The 25,795-nt window shown below is 40.4% G+C and overlaps 1 protein-coding gene across 12 annotated transcripts in view, besides 1 other annotated feature; it reads right to left on the reverse strand.

Annotated features, from left to right (window-relative positions):
• HECW2 (HECT, C2 and WW domain containing E3 ubiquitin protein ligase 2) overlaps positions 1 to 25,795 on the reverse strand; it is a 399,483-nt gene that overhangs the window by 26,285 nt on the left and 347,403 nt on the right. For all 12 annotated transcript variants that reach the window (NM_001348768.2, XM_006712646.4, XM_047445197.1 and 9 more), the window contains 6 exons: positions 21,728 to 21,848; positions 20,093 to 20,206; positions 7,746 to 7,898; positions 5,416 to 5,514; positions 1,855 to 1,984; positions 439 to 585 (listed from right to left, as the gene is read on the reverse strand). In NM_001348768.2, the coding sequence (NP_001335697.1) occupies positions 439 to 585; positions 1,855 to 1,984; positions 5,416 to 5,514; positions 7,746 to 7,898; positions 20,093 to 20,206; positions 21,728 to 21,848 (764 nt within the window). The remainder of the gene's footprint in view (positions 1 to 438; positions 586 to 1,854; positions 1,985 to 5,415; positions 5,515 to 7,745; positions 7,899 to 20,092; positions 20,207 to 21,727; positions 21,849 to 25,795) is intronic.
• Positions 20,853 to 20,902: an enhancer, noted in NCBI's record as "active region_16900". NCBI's record gives its function as "activates an Ori minimal core promoter by ATAC-STARR-seq in GM12878 lymphoblastoid cells {active_cell/tissue: GM12878}" and the evidence as "EXISTENCE:reporter gene assay evidence [ECO:0000049][PMID:35858748]".

The raw sequence follows: 25,795 nt of genomic DNA on the forward strand, positions 1-25,795 counted from the left end.
TGTTTTATAATTGATTGCTGATTAATCTAGGTCCCGTCCACCTTTAGGAAACTATCTAGTGTTTCTACAGAAAAAGTCACATACAATACATGCCAACTCATTCTGATCTCAGATATAATTATTTCACATAGCAAGCATGAGATTTGATTACCCATATCTAAGCATAAGATGCATGGCTTAAATGTTACTAGTGGTCATTAAATCAACAAATGCTACTTGAATGCAGTCCATAACATTTATTTCAGTGATCTCTCGTAACAGTGAGTTAAGCTTCTTTTGGTGCTCTTGAAACATAAGGGAAAAAATACTGAACTTTTCGCATGGAAAGAGCAACAGTAAATACAGCAGAAATAGTCTACACATGTAAAGTACAATAAGATGGACTGTGGCATCATTGATATCAGACTGCAAACTCCTCCTACTGCTGATTGTCTTTACCTCATAGAAGCCACGCACTAAGCTCTCTGTTTGCTGTACAACACCCCTCTCAATCCTCCACTTCACCATCCTCTCGATGTACTCCTTCTTGTTCTTCTCTGTAACTGGGATATTGGCACCCCCTGGCTTTAATTCTCGTTCAGTTATCTGAGATTACAAAATAAAAAGAATGACTACAAAGCAATACTCTTAATGTTATAACAACATTACTAGCATTGAGCTGAAATCAGCCAGCTACCTGTCCCAGCCCTGCCCTAGGCACATCCCACAAGCTGGCAGTGAGGCCCCAGGCACTCACGGAGCACACACACTCAGGAAAAAATAGGCATTGAGGGGGTGCTTGAAAGCTTTGGTGATTAAAGTATATATATGTATTGCTGTTACTACAGGTTAAGTTTTAAAATGCCGATGAATCGGCTTCAGATACTAGCCTGCTACTATTTGAATGTTTGACAAAACCCATTTTCACAAATTTCTCAGAATTGACTATATCTAGCGTAAAGATTTACTTTAAAGCAGAATTACACTCAAGTGAATGTTAAATTGAGAACTTTTTCAAAACACATGGAATGCAGAAAAGCAGCTAAAGATTAATGCCTAAATAAGAATATTAATTATAAACTGGTATATAATTTCTGGAAGAAACGTTTTCCCTACTCTTCCACCAATTTTGAAAAAAAAATTAATATATTCTGTTCTTAAGTCTTCCCCAAAACATTGTTTATGTTCCCTTAGCTTCAAAAAAATCAATTTTGGTTCTCTTTATTTTTCTTTTCTTTTTTGAGACAGGGTCTCACTCTCGTCCCCCAGGCTAGAGTGCAGTGGCATGATCCAGGCTCACTGCAGCCTCAACCTCTCCAGCTCAGGTGACCCTCCCACCTTGGCCTCCTGAGTAGCTGGGACTACAGGTATGTGCCACCACACCTGGCTAATTTTTGTATTTTTTGTAGAGATAGGGTTTCACCATGTTGCCTAGGCTGGTCCTGAACTTCTAGGCTCAACTGATCCTCCTGCCTTGGCCTCCCAAAGTGCTGGGATTACAGGCATGAGCCACCGTGCCCAGCCACCATTCTATAAATGCCAATTAAAAAATTCTGTAGTGTGGACTTTAAAAAACTGCATTCTATATAAGGTAAATTCTCATATTTTGGGGGATATTTTAGTTGGAAATAAAAAGAAGATTGCTTACAACATAAACAGTTATCACCATCTGTAATTTACAGCATCTTAATCTGCAGCTGACATTAATTCTAATCTTTATAACTGCGGTTATTATAACTGTGTGTGATCCTGAGTTTAAATCACCCAATAAACCACGAATAAATAAGCATCTGATCTTAGCCATGGAGTTAATTCTTCACTCATCAATAGCCTTCAGTTACCACACTTAGGCGCCAGGTGTGCAGATACACACACCTGCCCAAATACTTCTTCGTTCACAGTGAACGTGAGGTCTAGGATGTCATGGATATCATTGTCTTTCATCCACTGCAGGCTCTGATGGAACTCTTCATCAAGGTATTCTAGGTCACTCAGGTCACATAGACTAAGATGACAAACAGACAGAAACAAATATGTAGGCATGGCTATTAGCAAAAACCCAGAGTCATAAGGAAAGAAACTAAGAATTAAAGAGAAGAATAAGAGCCACTACATAGGCAGTGATTTCTGGAATGTTCTTAGTCCAAGTCCAGTAATTAAACCAAACCAGTGAAATAATTCAGAAATTTGTTATAAAATTAGAAAGTCCTAAATATATAATATGCCACAGGAATCATTCAGCCTGCGTCTTCCTTTATAGACACAGAACTGGAGGTGCAAAGAATGAGTGCCATCTGCGCAGTCATCCATCATCAATGCCAGATCAGGAACTGGCACTCGGGTTGACAACTTGGATCCATTATTCTTTCTGGCCATATTATACTACCTTAAAATACTGTTATCTTAATTTGAAATTATTTATATATTTCTATATTTTAACTTTTTTTAATTGAAAGACATGATTTTTATTTTAATATTTATTTTATTTTATTTTTTATTAAAGACATGATTCATCTTCACATACATTCCCTTTTTCTTCATGGTTCTTATTCTGAAAATAGTAAGCCACAGAACCTGCCGTCAATCTGTATTTTTCCCCCACTTTTTTTAATTGTAGAGAAAGAATCGACATGAGGTAAGTTACTGTTCCATGGCCCAGTTGTACAGTGGTAGTCATTGATTTGCTATAGCTGTTTTGAAATTTCACTCCCCTTAACCCAATTTTAAGGGTCATTTTTTTTCAGTTCAATCTGAACATTCATTAGGCATCAAGCATGTACCAGACATCTGAATAGCTACTTGATGAATAGTCACTACCCCCAGGAGCTAATGGGCTAGTTGGGGAGCCAAGTACACAAACAGATAAGTTAATATAAAGCGATAAGTGATAACATAAGATTGGTAACACTTAAAATTCATGTACTTTTAAAATCTATGTCACACTTCAATTTAAGAAAAGATAAGGTAGGGATAGGGATTTAGGTGTCAGAGCACACATGAGGGGCCTTTTCTTTGACTGAGAGATTCAGGAAAAGCTTTTTGCAGAAGATGATGCCTACATTAAATCTTTCAGGATGTTTAAAAGCAAGAGACGTAAAAAGGAATACATGAAGGAGGAGAAGGGGAAAGAGAAAGGAGAAAGAGAGAATAACATGAACAAAATACAAGGCATGGATGTGTACAGGAAACTCCAAGCATATCAGCAGTTTGAGAGAGTTAACCTTAAGACAGAATTTCTAGAGAATGAGGCCAGCAAGGGAGCAGGCCTTAATATCATCCTAAGGAGATTGGTGATTCAGAACTACCAAAAGATTTTAAGACAGGGCATGACATGATCAGACGTGAAATGTGAATTATAAACAGCTCCTCTGGAAGTCCCAGTGTGAAGGATTATTTAAAATGGGGTGGGATGAGGGGTGGTTATCATTAGAGGGTAGAGACCAATGAATAGACCACTACAGTAATATGGCCAAAATAAGATAAGGGCTCTAACTAGGGCTGTGCTATTAAGGTTGGAGAGAAGAAGATGAATTTGAAAATCATTTAGGAGGCAAACATGTAGCAATCAGGAAATGGTTTTATTGGGGGAGTATAAAGAAGGATATCTAAAACAGGGGTGACAAACGAACTCATGTCAAAACTAACTGTAATTAATTGCTGGGCTTGAGCACTATAAGTTAAAAAGATTTCTGAGGCCACAGTGAGTTCAGTGGGAAAAAGTACCACAGGTGATTTGTGAACTCTACCCTGGGAATGATGGGGTAGAGTAGAGATGGGGAAGAGTAGAACATGTACCGTGTGTATTTGTCATCGCTGTTTAAGGGTGACTCCCAATTTCTGACCAGAGTGGCCTGAGAATAGTGGCACTATTAACTGTAACTGGGCATATGGGAGAAGGTATACTTTTACGTAGGGAAACTTGATGAGCTTAGTCTTAACCATGTTGATTCTGAGATCCTTGTAAGACATCCGAGTGGAGATATTTGGTGGACTGTTGACCATGTGAGGCTACACCTTAAGGGAGATCATGACTGAGAGTACAGATTTGGGAGTCAGAGGAGATAAGACAGGAGAAGAAATTCCCCCATGAGAGCACACTGAGTGAGAAAACGAGGGGCCTGGTGATAGAAGCTTCAGGTACACCAAGACTTAAGGGCAAATCAGAAGAGGGACTCATGAAGGGACAGAAAAGTTAAAAAAAAGAACCCGCAAAGTACAGTGTCATAGATGCCAGCTCTGAAGGAAAGACACAGGAATAAATGGTGGCGGGTGTGGGTGGTGCACAGTGTCAGAAGCAGCAGCATGATCCAATAAGATACGGACTAATCAGTATTCTTTAAATGCCTCCACAGGTTTTCTGGTGGGAAAGAAACCAGGCTGAAGTGTGCTTAGGGTGTGAATTTGAGGTAAGTGTAGACAGTCAGTATAGACTAGTTTTTCAGGAAGCTTAAATGAGAAGATAAGAGATAAGGCAATGAAATGGGAAGATGCAAAGTGGGCCACAAAGAACCAAAGAGACAGAAAACGGCACCTGTTCCCCAGTGCTACAGCTGTGAAGACACTGAAAGAGAAGAAGGCAAAAGTCTTTCTACTGACCCTCCCAAGGGCCCACAAGAAGCATTTTGTTTGCTTTCATTTGAGGTCTAGGCTTCCATTTTACAGTAAGCAAGTGCGTGGCCTCAGTTAGGGTATGAGCTGGACAGAGCCAAGTGATAATTCAGTGCATTCTCATCGCAAATTTGAGCTACTATCCCACAGACAGTTGTCTTCTGTTCAGCCTTGTAAATGGCTGCTGATTATAGGACAGAAACAATTAGCCCTACATTTTACAATAACTGCAATCTTTCATTAACAATGAAGAAAAAGTTCTGTGAATGCTGAATTTTCATTTTCCATAATAAATTACTAAGGGCATAGAGAAAGTTTAAGAAACATATGGCACTGTCCACCCTTGACAAACAAATAAAAAACAAAACCAAAACAAAGGAAAATGAAGATTTGAACGAGGAGTAAGCATTTGAAAATATGCATCAAGCCAAATATAAAATGTGTCTCATAAAGGAGAGGGGGGCTGTGAGTCACTAAGACTAACCCACAACAATTCTATTAATAATCTGCATTAATACCACAGGAATCCCAGGGCTGTGTTTGAAGTACAATTGTTTTAAAGAAACACATGCTGCAACAAATGAGAATAAATTTTGGGGGGTAGAGCAAAACTAAAAATCTGGGGGCTAAATAGGTCAGAGGCAGGAAAAACACAGTAATCATATTTGAAATTGCATTAGTTTCAGAAATCTAAACCACTATTAGGTTTAATAACAACAAATTTGAGATTGTGAACAGATAAACAATGACTTTGACAGAAGAATTTTTTCAAAAAAGTAAATACTGCATTTTACATGCTAATTATGCAGGCAATAAAAATATTCTTACATTCTGAGAAGAGCCTTATAAAAGGGCCGTGTGAAGAAGGCATCCAACAAATACTGGTGTATTAGTGCAAGACCAAGGATCCTACCACTGAATCGGAACCTGTGAAGGAAACACATGAGATGGCTTACATGTCATGGAGCAGTTTCTAGGTGGTTCCATATGCTTTCTAGAATGCCTTCCAGCGCTAACCATCTAAATTTTTCCAATATTAATTGCCTACTAGGTAGTGAGAATTTGTAGGCACCATGGGCTGTGTCTTCATCAGGCCAGTGGTACAGTTTGTATACTTGTCCCTGCCCAAATGTCATGTTGAATTGCAATCCCCATTGCTGGGGGTGGGGCCTGGTGGGAGGTGTTTGGATCATGGAGGCTGATCCCTTATGGCTTGGTGCTATCTTCATGATAGTGAGTTCTCATGAAATCTGGTCATATAAAAGTGTGGCACCTCCCTCCAACACACACACACACTCTCTCTCTCTCTCCCTCCTGCTTTTGTCATATGATGTGCCTGCTTCCCCTTTGCCTTCCACCATGATTGAAAAAGCTCCCTGAGACCATCCCCAAAGCCCAGTGATTTGGGTGCTATGCTTCCTGTACAGCCTGCAGAATCATGAGCCAATTAAACTTCTTTTCTTTATAAATTACCAGTCTCAGGTATTTCTTTATAGCAATGCAAGAATGGGCTAAAACAGCCAGTAATTCATACCTACTTGTTGAAGAATCAGTTTCACTCATATTTAGAGACCCTGCTCCACCTTCACTGCATATCAACAATGTAGCACCCCACATTCATGAATCCCCTGTGAGCATTTCAGTGACATTTCCCCAAACCACTTCTAAGAGATGTTGACAGATGAGACCTCTGGAGGTGGGGAAAATGCTATTCCCTCCTAGTGTGTATGCATGAATATTAGCAGAATTTCTCAATACAAACTCAGTAGCAATTCCTTTCTGAGGAAAGGCCCAGTCTCAGATCAAGAAAGTTCCTATCCCTATTCTCTCTCAAGACCCATTCCTGATATTTTCACCATTCAAGAATTGTGCACATGGACATTTGGGGGAGTTTCCTTCTGGGACATTCTGTTCTCTAAAATTTCAAGGCTCAATTCTATTCTGAATCACTTTGGAAATTTTATTAAATATATTTGTTATGACTGGATTTGCTGCCTGAGATGTAAACTTACTTTCTCTTTCAAAAGGATTCAAGTTTCTAGCTCTTTGAAAGTCTGATGCCTTCCAAAAGTATAAATCCATACTGAGATTCGTACAGTAAGTTTGTAATTTTAGTATTGGGCAGCCATTTTAAGAACAATGTCCAGCAGTATGGTTCCTCTTTATTTCCATTTATTTAGCACAACTGTAATAGTCACAGAAGAAGGACTTCAAATTGCAGCTAAACAGAAGTTAATTTGAAGAGTAAGTCCTAAAAGATAACGCCCTCCACCCAACAATATTAATCTCATGATTCAAATAAGCTTTTTCCATGAATCCTGCTCATATTCTTTCCTTTGTTGCTGTCAGGGAAAATGAACAGGAACAAGCAAACAGGGGTTATACAAATATTTGAAGTGTATAAATGCAGAGATTTAAAAAAGATGTAAGGACATTTGGAAAGAGTGCAATTTGGGATTTTCAGCATAAATAATCTTCAGATGGGAATCCTAAATCAGTTTCCTTGATTTTGTGTGAGAAATTAGGAAAGAGGGAGGCAACACCTGGTTACAAACTTCAAATGGCTAATACGGTAAGTGGCCACTGCTTGTGACTCCCCACTCCTGCCCTTCTACCATCAATGCCCCCAGGTCACTACACCAGCCCCACTGCCCACTAGAGCACCATCATTACCAGAGTTGAGAGTCAGAGCCCCAGCCAGAGTTCCAGCTGCCCTGTCTCCTCCTCCCATGGCAGCCACTGCCCCAAGGGCTGCTCTAGAAGCTGTCTGATCTCTGGGTCAGGCCCTTCCCCTCCTCATCCCCACCTCAGCTTAGAGCTCATAGGCACCCAAAGGTACAGAGAGGAATATAGGGATCTCACCAGGAACGCATCATCTCTTTCTTGCAATGGGAAATACCTTTTGAATTCTACCCAACTCACTTAAATTGATCTTATGGAGCAGATCAATTCCCAGCTATCAACAGATCTAGTCCTAGCTTGGAGACTGCCTATATATTTAAATTTGACAATAAAAACAAGAGTCAAATGAGGTATTTAACTGAAAATATGACTTTGCCCAAGGGAAAAAATGTTTTAATGTTTAAATGTGGGTTCTATAAAAAAACTAATATCATAGGAAATCGCCTGAAGAAAAGTGTTGGGGAAAAAATACTTACCATTCATGGTGATTGTCTACAAAAGCAGACATAGGACTTATTTGTACTGTGTATGTGTCATTGGCTGAATATTCAAATAAGCCATAATATGGGTTAAAGAGTTCTCTGGATACCAGGAAGAAAAACTCTCTAGAAGGCCCACTGTAATCCAGCCTGTAACAAAAATCCACAAAAAGAATAATCTGTTACTTTTTTTCTAGATATTGGGCAGTTTTTCTCCAGAGCTCAAGTTTCCATAGGATGCTCATTACAAATCTAATTGTCCACATGCCAGAGCTGTCCAAAACAAACTGAATGATCATAGTTTCTGATCTCATTGTGTCTTGACCCAGATTAGTAAAATGGACATTTATGTGGAGCATACCTAAAACTAAGCCACACATCATACAACAGGCATACAATAGGCAACATTCTAATACATACAATAGGCAATATGCTAATATTTTGATTATGTAAACATGTATAAAGAGGTAAATCTTTCGAATGTCAGGAGCAAGCTTATACAAAAAGGGAGCACAACGAGAAAGCTTTATTTAAACAGGGTAAAACCAGGGGGAATCAGTTACATATGCTCACAGGACATGGAGTCCTCATGGATATCTGAAATATTTTTAAATGGGAGAAGAAAGATACTTCCATGAATTCAAGATTAAGACATTACAGATACAAGTCCCATTAGGGAGCTCAGTAGCAAAAAATGGAGTGATAAGGTGCAAATGTTTTAAATGATAAAACACAAAGGAAAATTACAGACAAGAAAAATGAGGGTGCCTAAAGCTTCCTAAGGAAGGCATTTGGAGAAAGAGGCTGAAACTCTAACACCTGAGCTACAGTATAAATTCTACTTTACTTACAAAGATGTCAGGGTCAAACTGAAGTGTAAGAAAAGATTGTGTTAGGTCTGAGGAATGACAAGTGGCCAAAAATGACGAGAGTAAAAAATGCAAAGTAAGGAGGAGTTTGCAGTAAAGCAATGTGATGTGCTAAATTTAAAATGAAAAATATAAAGTACATCGACCCTATGATAAAAAGTATACACGTGGGCTCAAAGATAGGGAAGGAATGCTGAAAAGGGAATGAAGGCAACTGAGAAGCTGGGGTGGAGGAGGGATTGTGAAAGACTTTTCTTCTCCTTCTTCCTCTTTTCTCCCTCTATCTTATTTTTTCTTCTTTTTGAATTTTTTTTTTGTGGGCATCATTGCATTTTTTTAATGAAAAAAAAATCTGAGTCTTGTTCAGTGATAGGATTGTGTGAAGGAGGAAAAAACAGATCCTAGGCAGGGCATGTTGGCTCATGCCTGTAATCCCAGCACTTTGGGAAGCCAAGGCGGGAAGATCCATTGAGTCAAGGAGTTTGAGATAAGCCTGGGCAAGGAGTTTGAGAGAGTGACACAGTGAGACCCCCGTCTCTACAAAAAATAAGAAAAAATTAGCCAGGTGTGGTGGCATGTGCCAGTAGTCCCAGCTACTTGGGAGGCTGAGGCAGGAGCATCTCTTGAGCCCAAGAGTTTGAGGCTGCGTGAGCTATGATCACGCCACTGCACTCCAGCCCAGGTGATGGAGAAAGAACAGCAGCAACAAAAAGGATCCTATAGGCAGAAGATAAATAAAAATGGTTTACACAGAACAGACTTCAATTATTCATACTACTTTCCCAATTTTTGTTATATCTGAATATATATGTACCATTATTAATATTTTTCATTAAATCAACTTTAAATCTATTTGCTTTTTAATAGAACTTTGTCTTACACAATCTTTATAAAGTTTTGATGTGCTAGCTCTATTGTTTCCCAATGTACCTTAAAATGAATACATGAATATTAAAATAAAAAAGTCAGTCTTTGTAGTAGCTAAAATCATTTAACACATCACCAGTGGTATTAAAAATCCTCACACCCATACTGTGCTGACAGGGAACCTATATGTAAAGAAAAATGCAAACAGCAGACTCCCAGAGCCAAAGAGGCTGTAGGTGACACAATGGACCTGCCCTCTGGGGCAGCTGAATATAACATGCTAACAGGTGGCTCCCAGGATCGGTGGGACTACCCTCAGGTTACTCTGAGGACTCCCAAAGCAGTACCCTGGCTGCCTCCTCCATGCAGGGATGCACAGACTACCTGTCCCTCCTTATGCTGTGACGAAGGCAGCCTTTGCGGCTTCCTCCCGCTGACCTACTTCTGGCCTGTGACGCCGCCAGGAACAAATAGAATATTTCTTCCACTTGAACATTCTTTACATACTCAGAAGCTTTCTTTCAACAAAAGTCTGTGTGCTGATTACATATGGGGTGCTAATCTAGATCCTGAAGATATAAAACGTTTTCAAAGTCATTTTCCATTGGAACTTTAGGTTTAGCAGTTTCCATCTCCTGGTCCCAGCCTCCTTCTCTCCCTTTCCCACTCCTGAGCATGGCCACTTCCTTCAACCTTCTCTCAGGGCAGGGGTGAGAATTCCTTCTCTACCCTGGTGGCATTAAAGACTTGATCGTAACACTCCAGGTGAGGTCTTCTCAGCACAGAGCTTAGAAACTCCTCGACACTTTTCTCCGGCGATGCAGGTTAAACTTATCCTGCCTTTGGAGCAACCACTTTACTTTGTTGACTTACAAAGTGCTAGTCATCAGCTAAAGCCCGAAACCTTTCATCTAAACTGCTTTAACCCAGGACTCCCCCATCCTGTCTGCATGTAGCTGCATCTTTTAAAAGCCTTAATATGGCTGGGTGCCATGGCTCACGCCTGTAATCCCAGCACTTTGGGAAGCTGAGGCAGGCGGATCACGAGGTCAGGAGATTGAGACCATCCTGGCCAACATGGTGAAACCCCGTCTCTACTAAAAATACAAAAAATTAGCTGGGTGTGGTGGCGCATGCCTGTAATCCCAGCTACTCGAGAGGCTGAGGCAGGAGAATCACTTGAACCAGGGAGTCAGAGGTTGCAGATGGCGCCTCTGCACTCCAGCCTGGCGACAGAGCAGGACTCCGTCTCAAAAAAAAAAAAAAAAAAAAAAAAGGCCTTAACACTAGACCATACTTTTCCCGATTAAAATTTCACTTTTTGAGACTTAGTCCCCTGTGTCTTTTAGAAACAGAGCATGCCCGTGGTCAAAGTCATCTTAGAAGTCATTTTGTCCAATGCCATCATTTTATAGAGACGACTAAGGCCGAAAGAGATCACTGACTTGTATCACATGAAAACTGCAAATGGAAGAACCAGCAGGCCTTGGGGTCTTCAGGCAGGTGCCCTGACCCCAAGTTTAATGCTTGTTACTTCTTACAGCCTACCCTTCAGCCAATTTTAAATGTTCATCAAGACTAAAAAAATACTGCTAATAGAGTAGCGGTTGGCAAACCTGCAGGTCCAATCTGCCCCACCCTCTGGTTTGTAAATAAAGTGTTACTGGAACACAGCTGTGCCCATTTATGTATTGATGTTGTCCGCTTTCCTGCTACAAGGGCAGAGTTGAGTAGGTGCCATAGAGGTTTGACTGGTGAAATCCCAAATATTTACCACCTAGCCCTTTACAGGAAAATTTTGCTAACCTCTGTTACAAAAGAAAGAAAATAGGAGGAAAATACTACTTGTTAAAATATCTAGCTTATGGGCGGGGGCAGTGGCTCACGCCTGTAATCCCATCACTTTGGGAGGCTGAGGCAGACGGATCACAAGGTCAGGACCATCGAGACCATCCTGGCTAACATGGTGAAACCCCGTCTCTACTAAAAATACAAAAAATTAGCAGAATGTGGTGGTGGGCGCCTGTAGTCCCAGCTACTTGGGAGGCTGAGGCAGGAGAATGGCGTGAACCCAGGAGGCAGAGCTTGCAGTGAGCAGAGATCGCGCCACTGCACTCCAGCCTGGGTGACAGTGAGAGAGACTTTGTATCAAATAAAAAAAAAATCTAGCTTACAATATCCTAGGGTGTACGCAACCTCAAGGAGTGGGTAGAATACTAAGTGTGAGGCACAGAGTGAGCACCCGTCAGCCATGGTCATTCTCTGTGAGGCTTTCAGACACAATAGAGCATACAATGGATAAGGTCGGAGACAGCTGAAACATGAGGCAAATACTTCAGGAGTCAGTTTTCTTACAGACAACTGGTAAAAGTAAAATGGGATTTTGCCTGCTTAAAATTAAACTGTGGCATTCAGTTAGAAGTATCAGGGTTTCTTTAAGCTTTACCTCTGAGTATTTTAATAATACTGCACTTATAGAGTGCATTACAATTATCTGTCTATGTGCCTGCCTCCCCTATACATACATACTAGTCTGTAACTACACTGGGGCAGGGACCATGTTTTACTCATTTTTATATCTGTACCTAGCCTGATACACAGTGGGGGCTCAATATATATTGTTGAATCAATGAGTGGAGCTCTTTGATGCTTTCTAAAGAAAAATCAACATTGCTTACATTGTTATTTGGTATCTAGCAGATTTGCACATTTGCCTTTGAGTGGTATATTGATTCAATGACATGAACAGGTTATACCAATCCCTGAAAGGTTGCTCAATTTGAAAACATTGTCAGAAATCATCAAGTAAATTATGCTTAGAAAGTTTAACATGTAATATCTTCTCAGGTGGTAAAGTTTGCTAAAACAACAAAGACTGACCTCACTGATTAGTTCCCTTTTTATGATGATAGCTGAATCTGGCTGAAGATGAGATGAATGTTCCCTGAGGAATTAAACTGAAAATGAAAAGTCTTGTTTTCCCAAGCAAAAACAGAGCTAACAGTTAGTTCCTCTAGGAGAAAATGTGTCTTCAACTGGTCAAGTTTTTATCTGCTGACTTTTAACTCTAGAAGCACTGATGGAGTCACCTCTAAAGCCAAAATAGTCTTAAACTTTGATTTGATTATAATCCAAAGCTTAGAACTGCCTATCTGAGAGCAGGTTGTAGATTACAATTTATAAATAAGCCTAGCTAACTCAGTAAAACATGTCACAGCAGGGTACATCATGCCTTTGCTTCCTGTAATGTCTTAGCAACTTCTTTCATATAAATAGTTAATATGACTCATATCACAGGGATTGTCTGTTACATTCCTGTTTTGCCAGTTAGGTTGGTTCCACAGCTAAAGGCTTGGCACGGAAATATAAAAACTCTGGACGACGGGTGTGTAGCCGCACAACAGCTGCATCTGAGGGCATTTCCGAATAAGCACAGATGTCTCCAGGGTGGCCATGTAGTCTGGAGCCCCAAGTGCTGATAGAGCATTTTAAATATCATCACATGGCTGGGTTGGCACTCCACCCAAGTTGTCAGTGGCACCCAAAATTTGTTAAAATAACAAATTTTATTCTCCCATTCTTTATTTTCAACTAAGAATTACTGAAAACTAAGTATTCTAATGAAAGCAGACTATAAAATGAAAGAAGATGATGGCCTTGGGAAGTCACACCATTTCCTACAAGTTGGTTCAGGCACACATGGCCTACACACCTTCTGATTCACCCTCAGATATTTATAGCAGCAAGGTGTTAGTTCTTGAGCCAATTAAGAAAGCCTGGTAGGTGAGTAAGGTATTTTGATATGATAAACAAAGTCTTACCAGGTGCTACCAAACCAAAGCCTAGATACAGAAGCATCCTTCTTTAGAAAGGTTTGGGTAATTTAGGTTATCCTGTGAATGTCTCTTTTTGGAAGAAAAAAAGGGAACACCATAAAGTGTACCTTGAAGCTTCACAGATTTCTGAGAAATTAATGACCAAGCTCAGGGCCTCAAACAGCTTCTAGTGAGGATCTGACCAGTCATATGTAAGAACTGGTTGGTTACTTTATAAGCAGAGACTGAAGAAAACTCCTTCAGATCTCATCCTCCCTAGTTGCTTTCATTTGCCTGTCTCAGGGGAGTTACAGAAAGCTCAAAAGGAAGATATTACAGGAAGTTCTTAAACTCCCAAACTAAAACTGCTTGTACACATCTCCACCCCAGTCAAAGTGTGGCTCTGCAAGACATGATTGATGTCATATTGATGGCACCTCACACATAATAAACTCATTCTTTCTTAAGAAAGGTGCCTTTTACAGGGTTGGCCATGGAGAAAAAGAGGCAGGGCAATCACAGTGTAAACCTCCTCTCTTTACGCAGGCCACTATTTCTTTAATGTTTTGGGTATTAAGAAATTAGTGGCCCCACGCCTTATCAGAACACAACAGTCTAATCCAGTTTTTTTTTTTTTTTAAAGAGACAGGGTGACAGGGTTTTGCTCTGTCACCCAGGCTGGAGTACAGTGGCACAATCGTAGCTCACTGTAACCTTGAGCTCCTGGACTCAAGCGATCCTCCTGCCTCAGCCTCCCAAGTATCTAGGACTACAGACACAAGCCATCACAACCAGCTAATTATTTATTTATTTATTTTTTATAGAAATGGGGTCTCACTATGTTGCCCAATCTAGTTTGGAACTCCTCGCCTGAAGCAATACTCCCACCTTGGCCTCCCAAAGTGCTGGGATTATAGGTATGAGCCACCATGCCTAGCATCTAGGTAACTTTTTAAATCATATAACTTTAGTTGCTAGGACTTTTAATTCAAAAGAAAATAATACACTGGAGAATGTGCAGTATAATAATAGAGCTGGAAAATACGTAGAATAATTCACTGGAGAATATGTAGTATTTCATTGACCTCAACCCTAGAGAAGCAACTTCTTAGTAGACTGATGCCCAGCAGAAATAGGCAACCCCTGCGTGCAATTTCACGCCACATTCAGTCAAGATGACTCAGTTTTCAGCCACTCCACCACTGCCGATCTCCCTTCCCCACAACTTTGCAAAGGCAGATAACCAGATTAAGTTGTGTGGAAATTTTCATGACTAAAGCAAAACCTCCAGCTCTAACCAAATTAAATCACTAGTTACAAGATAGGGCTTAGAAACTACCTACTTTTTGTAAAAAGCCAAAGCATAATATAAAATGTGATCTTAGTTGGTGATGAACTAATCAACTAAAGTATTTGTATTTATAGACTCTAGGATTATTTTTGTATTTTTTTTTTGTTTTTAGACCCAGTCTCGCTCTGTCGCCCAGGCTGGAGTGCAGTGGTGTGATCTCAGCTCACTGCAAGCTCTGCCTCCCAGGTTCAAGCAATTCTCCTGCCTCAGCCACCCTAGAAGCTGGGAGTACAGGCACTCACCACCATGCCCAGCTAATTTTTTTGTATTTTTATTAGAGACGGGGTTTCACCATGAGTTAGCCAGGATGGTCTCAATCTCCTGACCTCGTGATCTGCCTGCCTCAGCCTCCCAAAGTGCTGGGATTACAGGTGTGAGCCACCACGCCTGGCCTTATTTTTGTATTTCTAAATTGAATACATACATCTCTAGTATTGTGGGGCTAATTCTACCTTGCATGGAATTTGCAGCCATCCTGTAAATTTCTGACTATAAATTTTCCCATCATTTCTCTTGACTCAACTATTCTATTTTAGGAACAATTTATATATCATGTTTCAGATGTATGCAAATAAAGAAAGTGGAGCTGAAATCTCTCTGCTCATTCACACCTTTTTTGGAGCACAGGTAGATGCATTATTCTTTTTTTTTTTTTTTTTTTTTTTTTGAGATGGAGTCTCGCTCTGTCGCCCTGGCTGGAGTGCAGTGGCGTGATCTCGGCTCACTGCAAGCTCCGCCTCCTGGGTTCACGCCATTCTCCTGCCTCAGCCTCCCGAGTAGCTGGGGACTACAGGCACCCGCCACCATGCCCGGCTAATTTTTTTTGTATTTTTAGTAGAGATGGGGTTTCACCGTGCTAGCCAGGATGGTCTCGATCTTCTGACCTGTGATCTGCTCGCCTTGGCCTCCCAAGGTGCTGGCATTACAGGCATGAGCCACTGTGCCCGGCCGATGCGTTATTCTTTAAAATAAACTCCCTTTTCTTTATGCTTTAGCTAATCTACTGTAAATAAAGACTTTGATGGTGACAGGTAAAATATAATCACTGAAATGATATCAATATGAATTGCAAAGTATTAGTCCCTCATAGACAACACAGTTGACATAAGCAACACAAAATAATACTTTATATATACCAATGCCACTACTAATTTGGACTTCCCACAGAATTAACCCCATATATACACTTATTACTCTAATGACCTCAAGTGCAGACAGAGGCATATACATACCAAAATTTACCCTGGGGGCTGTCATTTATCAGATAACAAGGAAACAAATTGTCCAGGGAAACATTTCCTAAATCTCCCCGAATCCTGACTGCATATTTTCTTTTAATAAATGTTTTGTTTTAGAATAGGTTTTAACTTACAGAAAGATTGCAAGGATAAAACAGAGAGTTCTTGTACACCTCACACACAGATTAACATCTTACATTAGTATAATACATTTGTTATAATTAATAAACCAATATTGATACACTATTATTAGCTAAAATCCATACTTTATCTACATTTCCCTAGTTTCTACCTAATGTCCCTTATCTGTTCCATGATCCCATACAGGAAACCACATTACATTTAATTGTCATGTCTCCCTCTTGGCTATGACAGTTTCTCAGGCTCCTCTGGTCTTTGATGACCTTGGGAGTATTAAAGAGTACTGGTAAGGTATCTTGTACAATGTCTCTCAGTTGGGATTTTGTCTAACATTTTTCTCATGGTTGGACTAGCATTATGTGTTCGGGAGGAAGACCACAGAGGTAAAGTGCCACCCTCACGCATCATACCGAGGGTACATATTATCAACATGACTTGTGGCTATTGATGTTGACCTTGATCACCTGACTGCCATAGTGTTTGTCAGGTTTCTCTACTGTGAAGTTACTTTGTTCCCCCTCTTTCCATACTATACTATTTGGAATAAAGTCACTATGCACATTCCATACCTAGAGTAGAGAGTTATGCTGATTGTATGGAAATATTCTGCAAAATAGATTTTTTCTTTTTTAGTGAAACCTTTCACCAGCTACAACATAACAGAGTTTCTTTCAGTCTAATTGGGCCAAATTACATCATGTGCCTACCCCAGACCTACAGCAGTTTCTGAAGGGCATATTTTCTACTGTTTGCCTTAAACAAATTGATATCTACCTTGAGAGCAGTGATTCTTTTTTTTTAAATTGTTATTCTTGTTTATTTCAATAGATTTGTGGGGAACAGGTGGTGTTTGGTTATACGAGTAAGTTCTTTAGTGGTGATTTCTGAGATTTTGGTGCACCATCACCTGAGCAGTGTACACTGTATCCAATGTGTAGTCTTTTATCCCTTGCCACCCCCAACTCTTTCCCCCAAGTCCCAAAAGTTCAATGTATCATTCTTATGCTTTTGTGTCCTCATAGCTTAGCTCCTACATATGAGTGAGAATGTAAGATATTTGGTTTTCCATTCTTGAGTTACTTCACTTAGAATAATGGTCTCCAATTCCATCCAGGTTGCTGTGAATGTCATTATTTCGTTCCTTTTTATGGTTGAGTAGTATTCCATGGTGTATATATATACCATGTTGGCTCTATCCACTCATTGATTGATGGACTTTTGGGCTGGTTCCATATTTTGCAAAAGATATTTTTCTACTTTTCTATTCTTCCCCATTTATTTATGTATTCAACCATGTATTTATATCAGTATGGTTATTTATTTTATACTTTGGTTTATAATCAATAGCCTTGTATTTATTTTGTTGCTCAAATTATCTCAGCTTTGTCCATTGGGAACTCTTTCAGTTGGCTCCTGGGTTTTTTCAACATACCCCACGACTGGGATTTTTGAGGATTTCTTTAATCTCTGGCAGACACCAAAAGATGCTTCGGGCTGCATCTTGTATATTTCCTGCTTAGTGTTAGAATCAGCCATTTCTCTAAAAACCTTGATTCTTAGATCTGGGTGCCAGATACATGTGTTTTTAAATGCTCATTACTAGACCCAGACATGAAGAACTTACAAAATGATACATTTTGAGGGGATTAGAATTGGTAAAGAGAAAGTAACAGAAAACCTCCATACAAAACAAATTAGCTGGGCGTGGTGGCATGTGCCTGTAGTTCCAGCTACTCAGGAGGCTGAGGCAGGAGAATCACTTGAACCCAGGAGGCGGAGGCTGCAGTGAGCCAAGATCATGCCACTGCACTCCAGCCTGGGCAGCAGAGTTAGACTCTGTCTCAAAAAACAAAACAAAACAAAACAAAAAAACAGAAAACCTCCAGCTCCATTTTTATAGTTCAATGGAAAATTTGGGTCGCTCTTCCCTTTGGGTATGTATTATAATCCAGAAAAAAAGTTAGGGTTGTTCATTTTCATGTGATAGAGTCAGTGTGTTTGAGAAGGTGGCAAAGGCTAAAAGAGCTCCTTACTTTTATGTAGCTCAAGGTTTCTTTCTTTCTTTCTTTCTTTCTTTATTTTTTTTAGCTTTCTATTTTTCCAGCACAATTACTGTTTTCATCTCTCAAAAACAGCATATGTATCCTCGGTACCTCAATAGCAAATTAAAGTCTATATCTAATAATTTATGATACTGACCTGACAAAGTCATGAGTCCAGAAATCCAGCTTCAATAAACCATATGCAGAGTGAACAGATTAAGAAATTGTCCCTGCTAACTGAGCTCACAGCTTAGAACATCCTCTCCCTTGTTTTCCCTCCGATGTCACAGGAAGGAGACAGATGATGGAGGCAGGAAGCATTTGGACATCAATGTAATGTAATCAAATACAGAGGCATCAAGCCCCACTCACCCTGGACCTCCTCCTAGGAACTAATGTCATTAATCCACACCATGAGGAGACTGCTTTAGGAAAACCAGTCATGATAAACGTCTGTTCTATTCAAACTTAAATATCAGTGCTTCCAAAGACTCTTCCCTATATCTTTGAGATCTCAACAAACTCTGGTCCAACAATGAAGGGAGGCAGCTGGAGTTCTGGGGGAGGAAAAGTATTCTCATCCAAACCAGACTGATTATGTAAGGAAATACTTGGAATCTCATGCATACTGGTGATTAGGCTAACATTTGCCTTCATTTTCAACTGTGCACCTTCATCTTTAAGCCAACTAACACAAGTGAGAAGTCCACTTATGCACATCAGCAATGAAAGGCTCAGATCTCATGCAAACTTCTGTACAAATTTTGTCATGTCATAGTGTGTTTGCACATACTACTTTACCTTAATGTAGGAATAGCTGGGAGACTACACAGCACTGCATGTGACAAGAGCGGAAGTTATCAGTCATTAGCTGGAATGGGCAAAATGTCCAGAGATAGGAAAAAATTCAGATGGGCTGGAGTGCAGGAGTTTTGCTTAGGTCCCAGAGCTAGTCCAAGAGTACCAGATGAAAGACAAACGGCCTGAATTTGAATCCTGATTTTTCTATTCCCTAGTTCCATCAGCAGATGCAAATTATTTTATAGTTTGGAGTCATTATTTCATCCACTGTGTACTGAATGGCTGAATTTGTTCAATATCACTAATATGATTCCATAATCTAATATACTTTATTCCCAGGCATGACTGAGAGGGATAGCCTTAAAATGATCCAAATCAACAAGAGCCACAGAGAACACAATCAGACAATTGTATGGTATTAGAAAAATTCCCTCTAGCAGCTGCTGAGTTATGAAGAAGATGTTGAGACTTGAACCCAGACCTGAAATGAGGAAGAAGGGGTCTGGGAGGGATGACAGCTGGCCTCTTCTAATGTGATGTGTAATAACAGTTATGTCTATTTGGGCACAACAGACACTGTGTAGGAGTCTTCCCCGCTTCATTTCCTAACCCTTATCTTGACGAGCACACTCATGGAAGAGTCATGGAAGGCGGGACATGTTTGTTTATGTTAGGTAGTAATGTTGGTAGGTGTGCTGCCTTCCCAAGGGAAGAGAAAAACTGGAGGCAGAGAAATAAGAGCCAAGGCCCAAGAGTTACTTCTGTGGAGGCTTCTGGGTAGAACAGCAAGATTCTAATTCATGTTTCTGAAACTGAACTTATTTAATAGAGGAAGCACGTTCTACCTAGCCCTGCAGGGTAGAAAATAAGATCACAGATCACAAAGGAATTGCATAAATGCAATTCCTTGTTTTTTTTCCTTGTAAAGCCTTACTTTTTCCCTTTAAGAGAAAGAGAGGTCCGGAGAGAAGAAACTGAACTAGGCTTCTGTTCTCAAAAATGATCTAAAGCTACAAGTTTTTACTAAAGGATTTCTATGTCAAGTGATTTAAAAGCCAGAGGAGACCTTTAAAAAAAAAAAAGCCCAAAGGTTTAAGTGTATGAGAACAGCACTTCCTGGCAGAAGGATTTCCTGTTTCAGGCAACCACAGCGACGTGGAGAAACATCCGCCTTGTGGCCACAGCCTATGTTCCACAGGCCACTTCTCTGTTCTACTCACCCTTCCTCCCCAACGAAGGTGACATATAGCTTATTTCTCTGCAGGTCTTTTCTGGAGTAGCCCATAATCTGATTAAAAGCATCTTCTAGTAAGTGATCTCTTCGGATAATTAACCTGTCCATAAAGAGACAATTTAGAAAATACAAATTATTACTATACTATTAAAGATAATTTACTTATCTTTCTAGAACATTTCCATTTGCCACAATTAACTAGGTAAGAAGAATGTTACTTAATATCATTGCTGTCTGCAATAAAGTACACATTTGTCTTGAACTCTTAATAGCATTAGCAAAAGTTACATGAGAGAATCATTGGTAGAGTACCCTACCTATGACCAGTGTAAACAACCGGAGAATCCTATCTAAATGGTCAAATCAGTTTATCCCAGAAAAAAAATGATCATAAAACAACACCACACACACCACACACACCGCCCCCCGCCCATACATTTTGTTTAGTAAAGCAAGAACAACTCTATGAGGCAATGTTTTAAGTCTCAATGCATGTAGACAAGGAATTCAATTATTAAGTGCCCAGCAAGATGACTGTGAGAACAAAGAGGAAAAAAAAAATTCTCAATATCCTCCAAAGCAGAGGAGTTTCCAATTGTTAATTGTTAAATTAAGTGAATCTTGACAGTCCCTAAGGGACAGATACAAATGAATGATGAGTGTGGCAGGTTAATCTACTTGTGATGATGCCAATTAAAGTCATCCTTCCATAGATATCAATTTGCTCTTAATGTAAATGGTAATGGGCAGAGAGATGATAGGGAGGCTGAATGCATGACAGCTGGATCATCCTAGACCTTTGTAAGTTAAGTGTGAGAAAAGTAAAGCTCAGAGAAGTATGGTGTTTGGGCAGGCAGATGATTTTTTAGGGCAATGAAGGTGGATTTTAATCAAGCAAGCCTTCCTGCAGGTGGGGCAGTGAGCCATGGGGCTGCTGTTGGTCTGGTCTCTGGACCGTCTCTCAGGCACCCAGGGTCACAGGGGTGCTCCAGTGGAGACCGTCCCTCCTCTGTCCTCTCTCAGTGGCAGACTGATCTCCAGTGGGGACGTGGGACAGGGGTGAAGGCAGGGAGGAGAGAAAGAAGGGTAAGTAGGGAATGGAAACAATTCTAGGCCAAACAACATGATGATGTTTCAGTTTCCCCATTTGAAAGGAGGAGATGGATGAAGAAAGGCCGAAACAACATTCATGACATGTTCTGCTGTGAAGTTTGTTTCACAGAACTGAACAGAGCTGAGCACTATTCCTACACTCAGGTCAGTTCAGGAGACAGAAACTTGCAGTGGAGGACATTGGGATAGCTTTATAGCTAATGAATATACTATGCACCAACAAAGACATACTTTTCAGAGGAAAAAAATAAATCAGCCTTTTATTTTGCCTTTATTTTTGCATGAAAAGTGGCAGTGTCTTCACTATTTGTTTTAAAATGTTAAGCTTAATCATGTTTCATTCCAGGACTATGTTTTAGATGATCCTATAATTTACAAATTCCAAAATAATTATGCCGACTAAAATGAAGGCTAGTCATCCCAAATCACAATCAATTTCCTAGAGGCCCAACTGTGCCCTCTCCTTTCACCATCTATACATTATGTGGTTTGTGTCACTTTGACTTACTTTAACTTCCCTGGGCCTTGTCCATATCCTTTAGTCTCTAACTTCCTGTAAAAGTTCCTCAGTTTGGCTTCGAAATCCCGCTTGTAAGGGGCTGGAGCCCGGGCATTGGCACGCTGGGTACCTGCAGCAAACCACAAAGAGAGGACAATCTGGATTTGTGCCTCGTCCTTATGTTCATCACATCACCATGGACAAAAGCTATCACAATCAACAAGTCAAATGAGGCAACTGTCTTAACTTCTGCATTTTTGATTTCTGCAAGTTGAAGGATATAACAAACCTCAACCAAGGTCTTAAGTGACGTCCTCTTTGTGGCATTTTGGTTGAGAATAAAAATTCTGTTTGAATAGTTACAATGGTGCCCATGTGTTTCTCAAGTATGTTCCCCTTTTCAGTCGAAACTAATATGAGTCAAACAGAGTTACTCATGTCTAGTAGTAACTGTTAGGATGAAATGTCTTTGCTTGCTGCTGAAATGATATCATGGCAATTAGACAGGAAGTTGCAATGGAAAGTACATGGTATATAAGTAAGTGGCACCAAGAGTGAGGTTTTAATCATTCACTCTAAATTCCTCACCAAAAAACTCCTCATGAAACTTTTTTTTTTTTTTTTTTTTTTTTTGAGACGGAGTCTTACTCTGTCACCCAGCAGGCTGGAGTGCAGTGGTGCAATCTTGGCTCACTGCACCCTCCGCCTCCTGGGTTCAAGTGATTCTCCTGTTTCAGCCTCCCAAATAGCTGAGATTACAGGTGCCTGCCACCATGCCCAGCTAATTTTTGTATTTTTAGTAGAGACAGGGTTTTGCCATGTTGGCCAGGCTGGTCTGGAACTCCTGACCTCAGGTGATCCACCCACCTCAGCCTCCCAAATTGCTGGGATTACAGGTGTGAGCCACCGCACCTGGCCTACAAAACTTCTTTTAGATATGCACTATCACCAAGAATGATTTTAGACACATAATTACATAAATCTCATATTGCAGGGTAAAATCTTAATATAACACATAATTGCAAAAGGCACCTGTCTCACTTGCACAAAGTGCGCACTTGCACAAAGAATAAATAATATTAATATTTATTGGATTCTTTTTTTTTTTTTGAGACGGAGTTTCGCTCTTGTTGCCCAGGCTGGAGTGCAATGGCACAATCTCAGCTCACCGCAACCTCCATCTCCCGGGTTCAAGTGATTGTCCTGCCTCAGCCTACTGAGTAGCTGGGATTGCAGGCATGTGCCACCACGCCCGACTAATTTTGTATTTTTAGTAGGGTCATGGTTTCTCCATGTTGGTCAGGCTGGTCTTGAACTCCCGACCTCAGGTAATCCACCTGCCTTGGCCTCCCAAAGTGCTGGGATTACTGGTGTGAGCCACTGCGCCAGACCATTTATTGCATTCTTAACATGTGCCAAGTACTGAGAATATCTAGATTATATAAGCATATTTTATACGTTATTCAATGGTAATTATCACTAATAATATGTAAAAGTAACATTGTTTCTCTTTCCTTTTTTTTGACACGGAGTTTTGCTCTTGTTGCCCAGGCTGGAGTGCAATGGTGTGATCTCGGCTAACCCAACCTCTGTCTCCTGAGTTCAAGCGATTCTCCTGCCTCAGCCTCCCGAGTAGCTGGGACTACAGTCTTGCACCTCCACGCCCAGCTAATTTTGTATTTTTAGCAGGGACGTGGTTTCTCCATGTTGGTCAGGCTGGTCTCGAACTCCTGACCTCAGGTGATCCGCCCACCTCGGCCTTCCAAAGTGCTGGGATTACAGGCGTGAGCCACCATGCCCAGCCAATTGTTCCTCTTTCCATAGAAAAATCTGGTTTTGTGTCACTGGGTAACACAAGCAGCAGGTTGGGATAGAAAACTGATGATGAATATGGAAATCAGACACAGAGCCATGACAAAAACACTGGATATTTCCACTAAATATTTCCCAACCAATGAAAGAAACCAGAAAACAAAAGCTGGGAAGTCTTGTTCATTACATACCATGTAAGTTCATTAAAAATGTCTCTAACAAATGAGTGAACTAAATAGTTGTTATTCATTGGGAATACTATGTTAGGTTCACCAATGGATGTCCAAAATGAGTAAGGTGGGGTTGCTGGAGTGGGTTGGGGAAACAGAAATAAAACATCAAACAATTAGAGAATAATTAAGTCCTGAACTAGGTATACAGACTAGAAAGCAGAGGAAACAAAGCTATACCCCTGGGGCTATACCTAGTCCTATAGATCCCAGTTGCTTGCCCCATAATCTTTTTTGAATATTTTAAATTAATTGCCAACATTTACAAATTAAATTTCAAATTTAAAAATTCCAGATTTTTCTCTTGAAAATTATTTGGGAAATCTTGCAATGACTGGCTTGCATTTCCTTGGGGATCCAGCGGGCAGCTGCAGCTACTCTGTTAGACGAGGCATGAGCTCACCACTTTGCGGCAGCCACTCAATGACATGGCTGCCTGCCCCCCAAGCCCCGCAAGCATTTGTTAAGATCAGTGTTACACAAAAGTAATAGTAATGTTATAAAAAAGAAATGAGTATAAGTAGAGATCAAAGTGGAAAAGGCCTTAGGGAGGAAGCTTAATTGGAACCACACCTTGCAAAAGAAGGAGAATTTATATCCTAAAGTGGAACACAGCAGCAACAGCTGGCATGAGCACTGCATGTGTGTTCAGAAGACACCAAGAGAACCAAGCTAGCCTAGAGTGGAGGAGGAGTGCTGGGAGTAAATGGGAAATGAAATTGATCAGAAGGGTTGGAGCCAAATTATGACAAGAATTTTTAAAACCTAGCAGAGGAGTTTGGGCATGATGCAGTGAACAGTGCCTTTATAGGTTCTTGAGCAGAAGAATAACATACAAATGGTGTTTTATTTAAGAAATTATTTTCAGAGTGTGTTGAGTAAATTAAGGGTGGGCAAGAGGAAAGAGCCCCAGTTAGGAGTTGTTGCAGTAATTGAAGCCTGAGGGGATAAGGACTAGACTGGAGTGAGTGACTCAGAGAAACATCTACAATGTGAAATATGCACTGGGAAAAGAATAGATAAGCAAGAAAGAAGAATGGGAAGCATGATGATAATATAAAGTGTATTTAAACAATAACAACAGGTCTTACTTGTTAAGCGCCTGCTGTACATTACAGATGATGCACGTTACACAGGGGATCTTGAGAAATCCTCACAAGTCTACGAAGCGGGTATTACTAGGACCATCACACACCACTTTGCAACTAAAGAAAATGAAGGTGCAGTTTCCTGTCCAAGTCATATTCCAGTGACAGTAGATTTGGGATTTGAGCCAAGTCTATCTACCTGATGCTATGAAGAGTGTGGGAAGTGATGCAGGTGGACAAGGGCATGTGAAACTTTATACATATTGACTTGGATATGACAGCTAACAAAATGCCCTAGAGACTGAAAAATACAGGGCTGGAATTGGGGTGAGAGCTCAGGGCCACACGTGTGGATGAGCTGAGTTAGTGTGTTTATGGCACTTTATGCAGTGACTGTTGCATAAGAGATCCCACGTAAGTGTTAGCTGTTGTTATCTGCATAGAGGTGAATACTAAAGACAGGGAAATGAATTGAGATTTTACTAATGAATTTGTACAAAACTGGCTATTGACCAATAATCTGTCTGGAGATCTGTTTGTATAGCTGGGCAAAGAGCTGAGTTATGTCATAAAGCAAGTGAATAAACTTGACTTTAAAGATCTGGGAAGCAGAAGAGACTCCTAGGCAGGGGTTCTCAATCTTGACTGCACATTAGAATCACTTAGGAAGCTTTTAAAAATTCCAATGTTCAGGCCACACCCAAGATGCATTACAACAAAATGTGTAAAGACCCAGAATGTGGGGTGGGACCCAGGCATGAGTGTTAAATACAACTGTCCAGATGATTCCAATGTGTAATGTGTAGCTATGGCTGAGAACCACTATTCCCTTATAAGAAGGTCAAACATCACCAGTGAAACACATGGGCAGCATCCAGGGACTAACACAGGGCAAATGTTTCCTGTGTACCGAAAGGCATAATTTGCAACACGAAGGAACATTATCT

Source organism: Homo sapiens, chromosome 2, assembly GCF_000001405.40.
Source record: "Homo sapiens chromosome 2, GRCh38.p14 Primary Assembly".
Classification (NCBI taxonomy): Eukaryota; Metazoa; Chordata; class Mammalia; order Primates; family Hominidae; genus Homo; species Homo sapiens.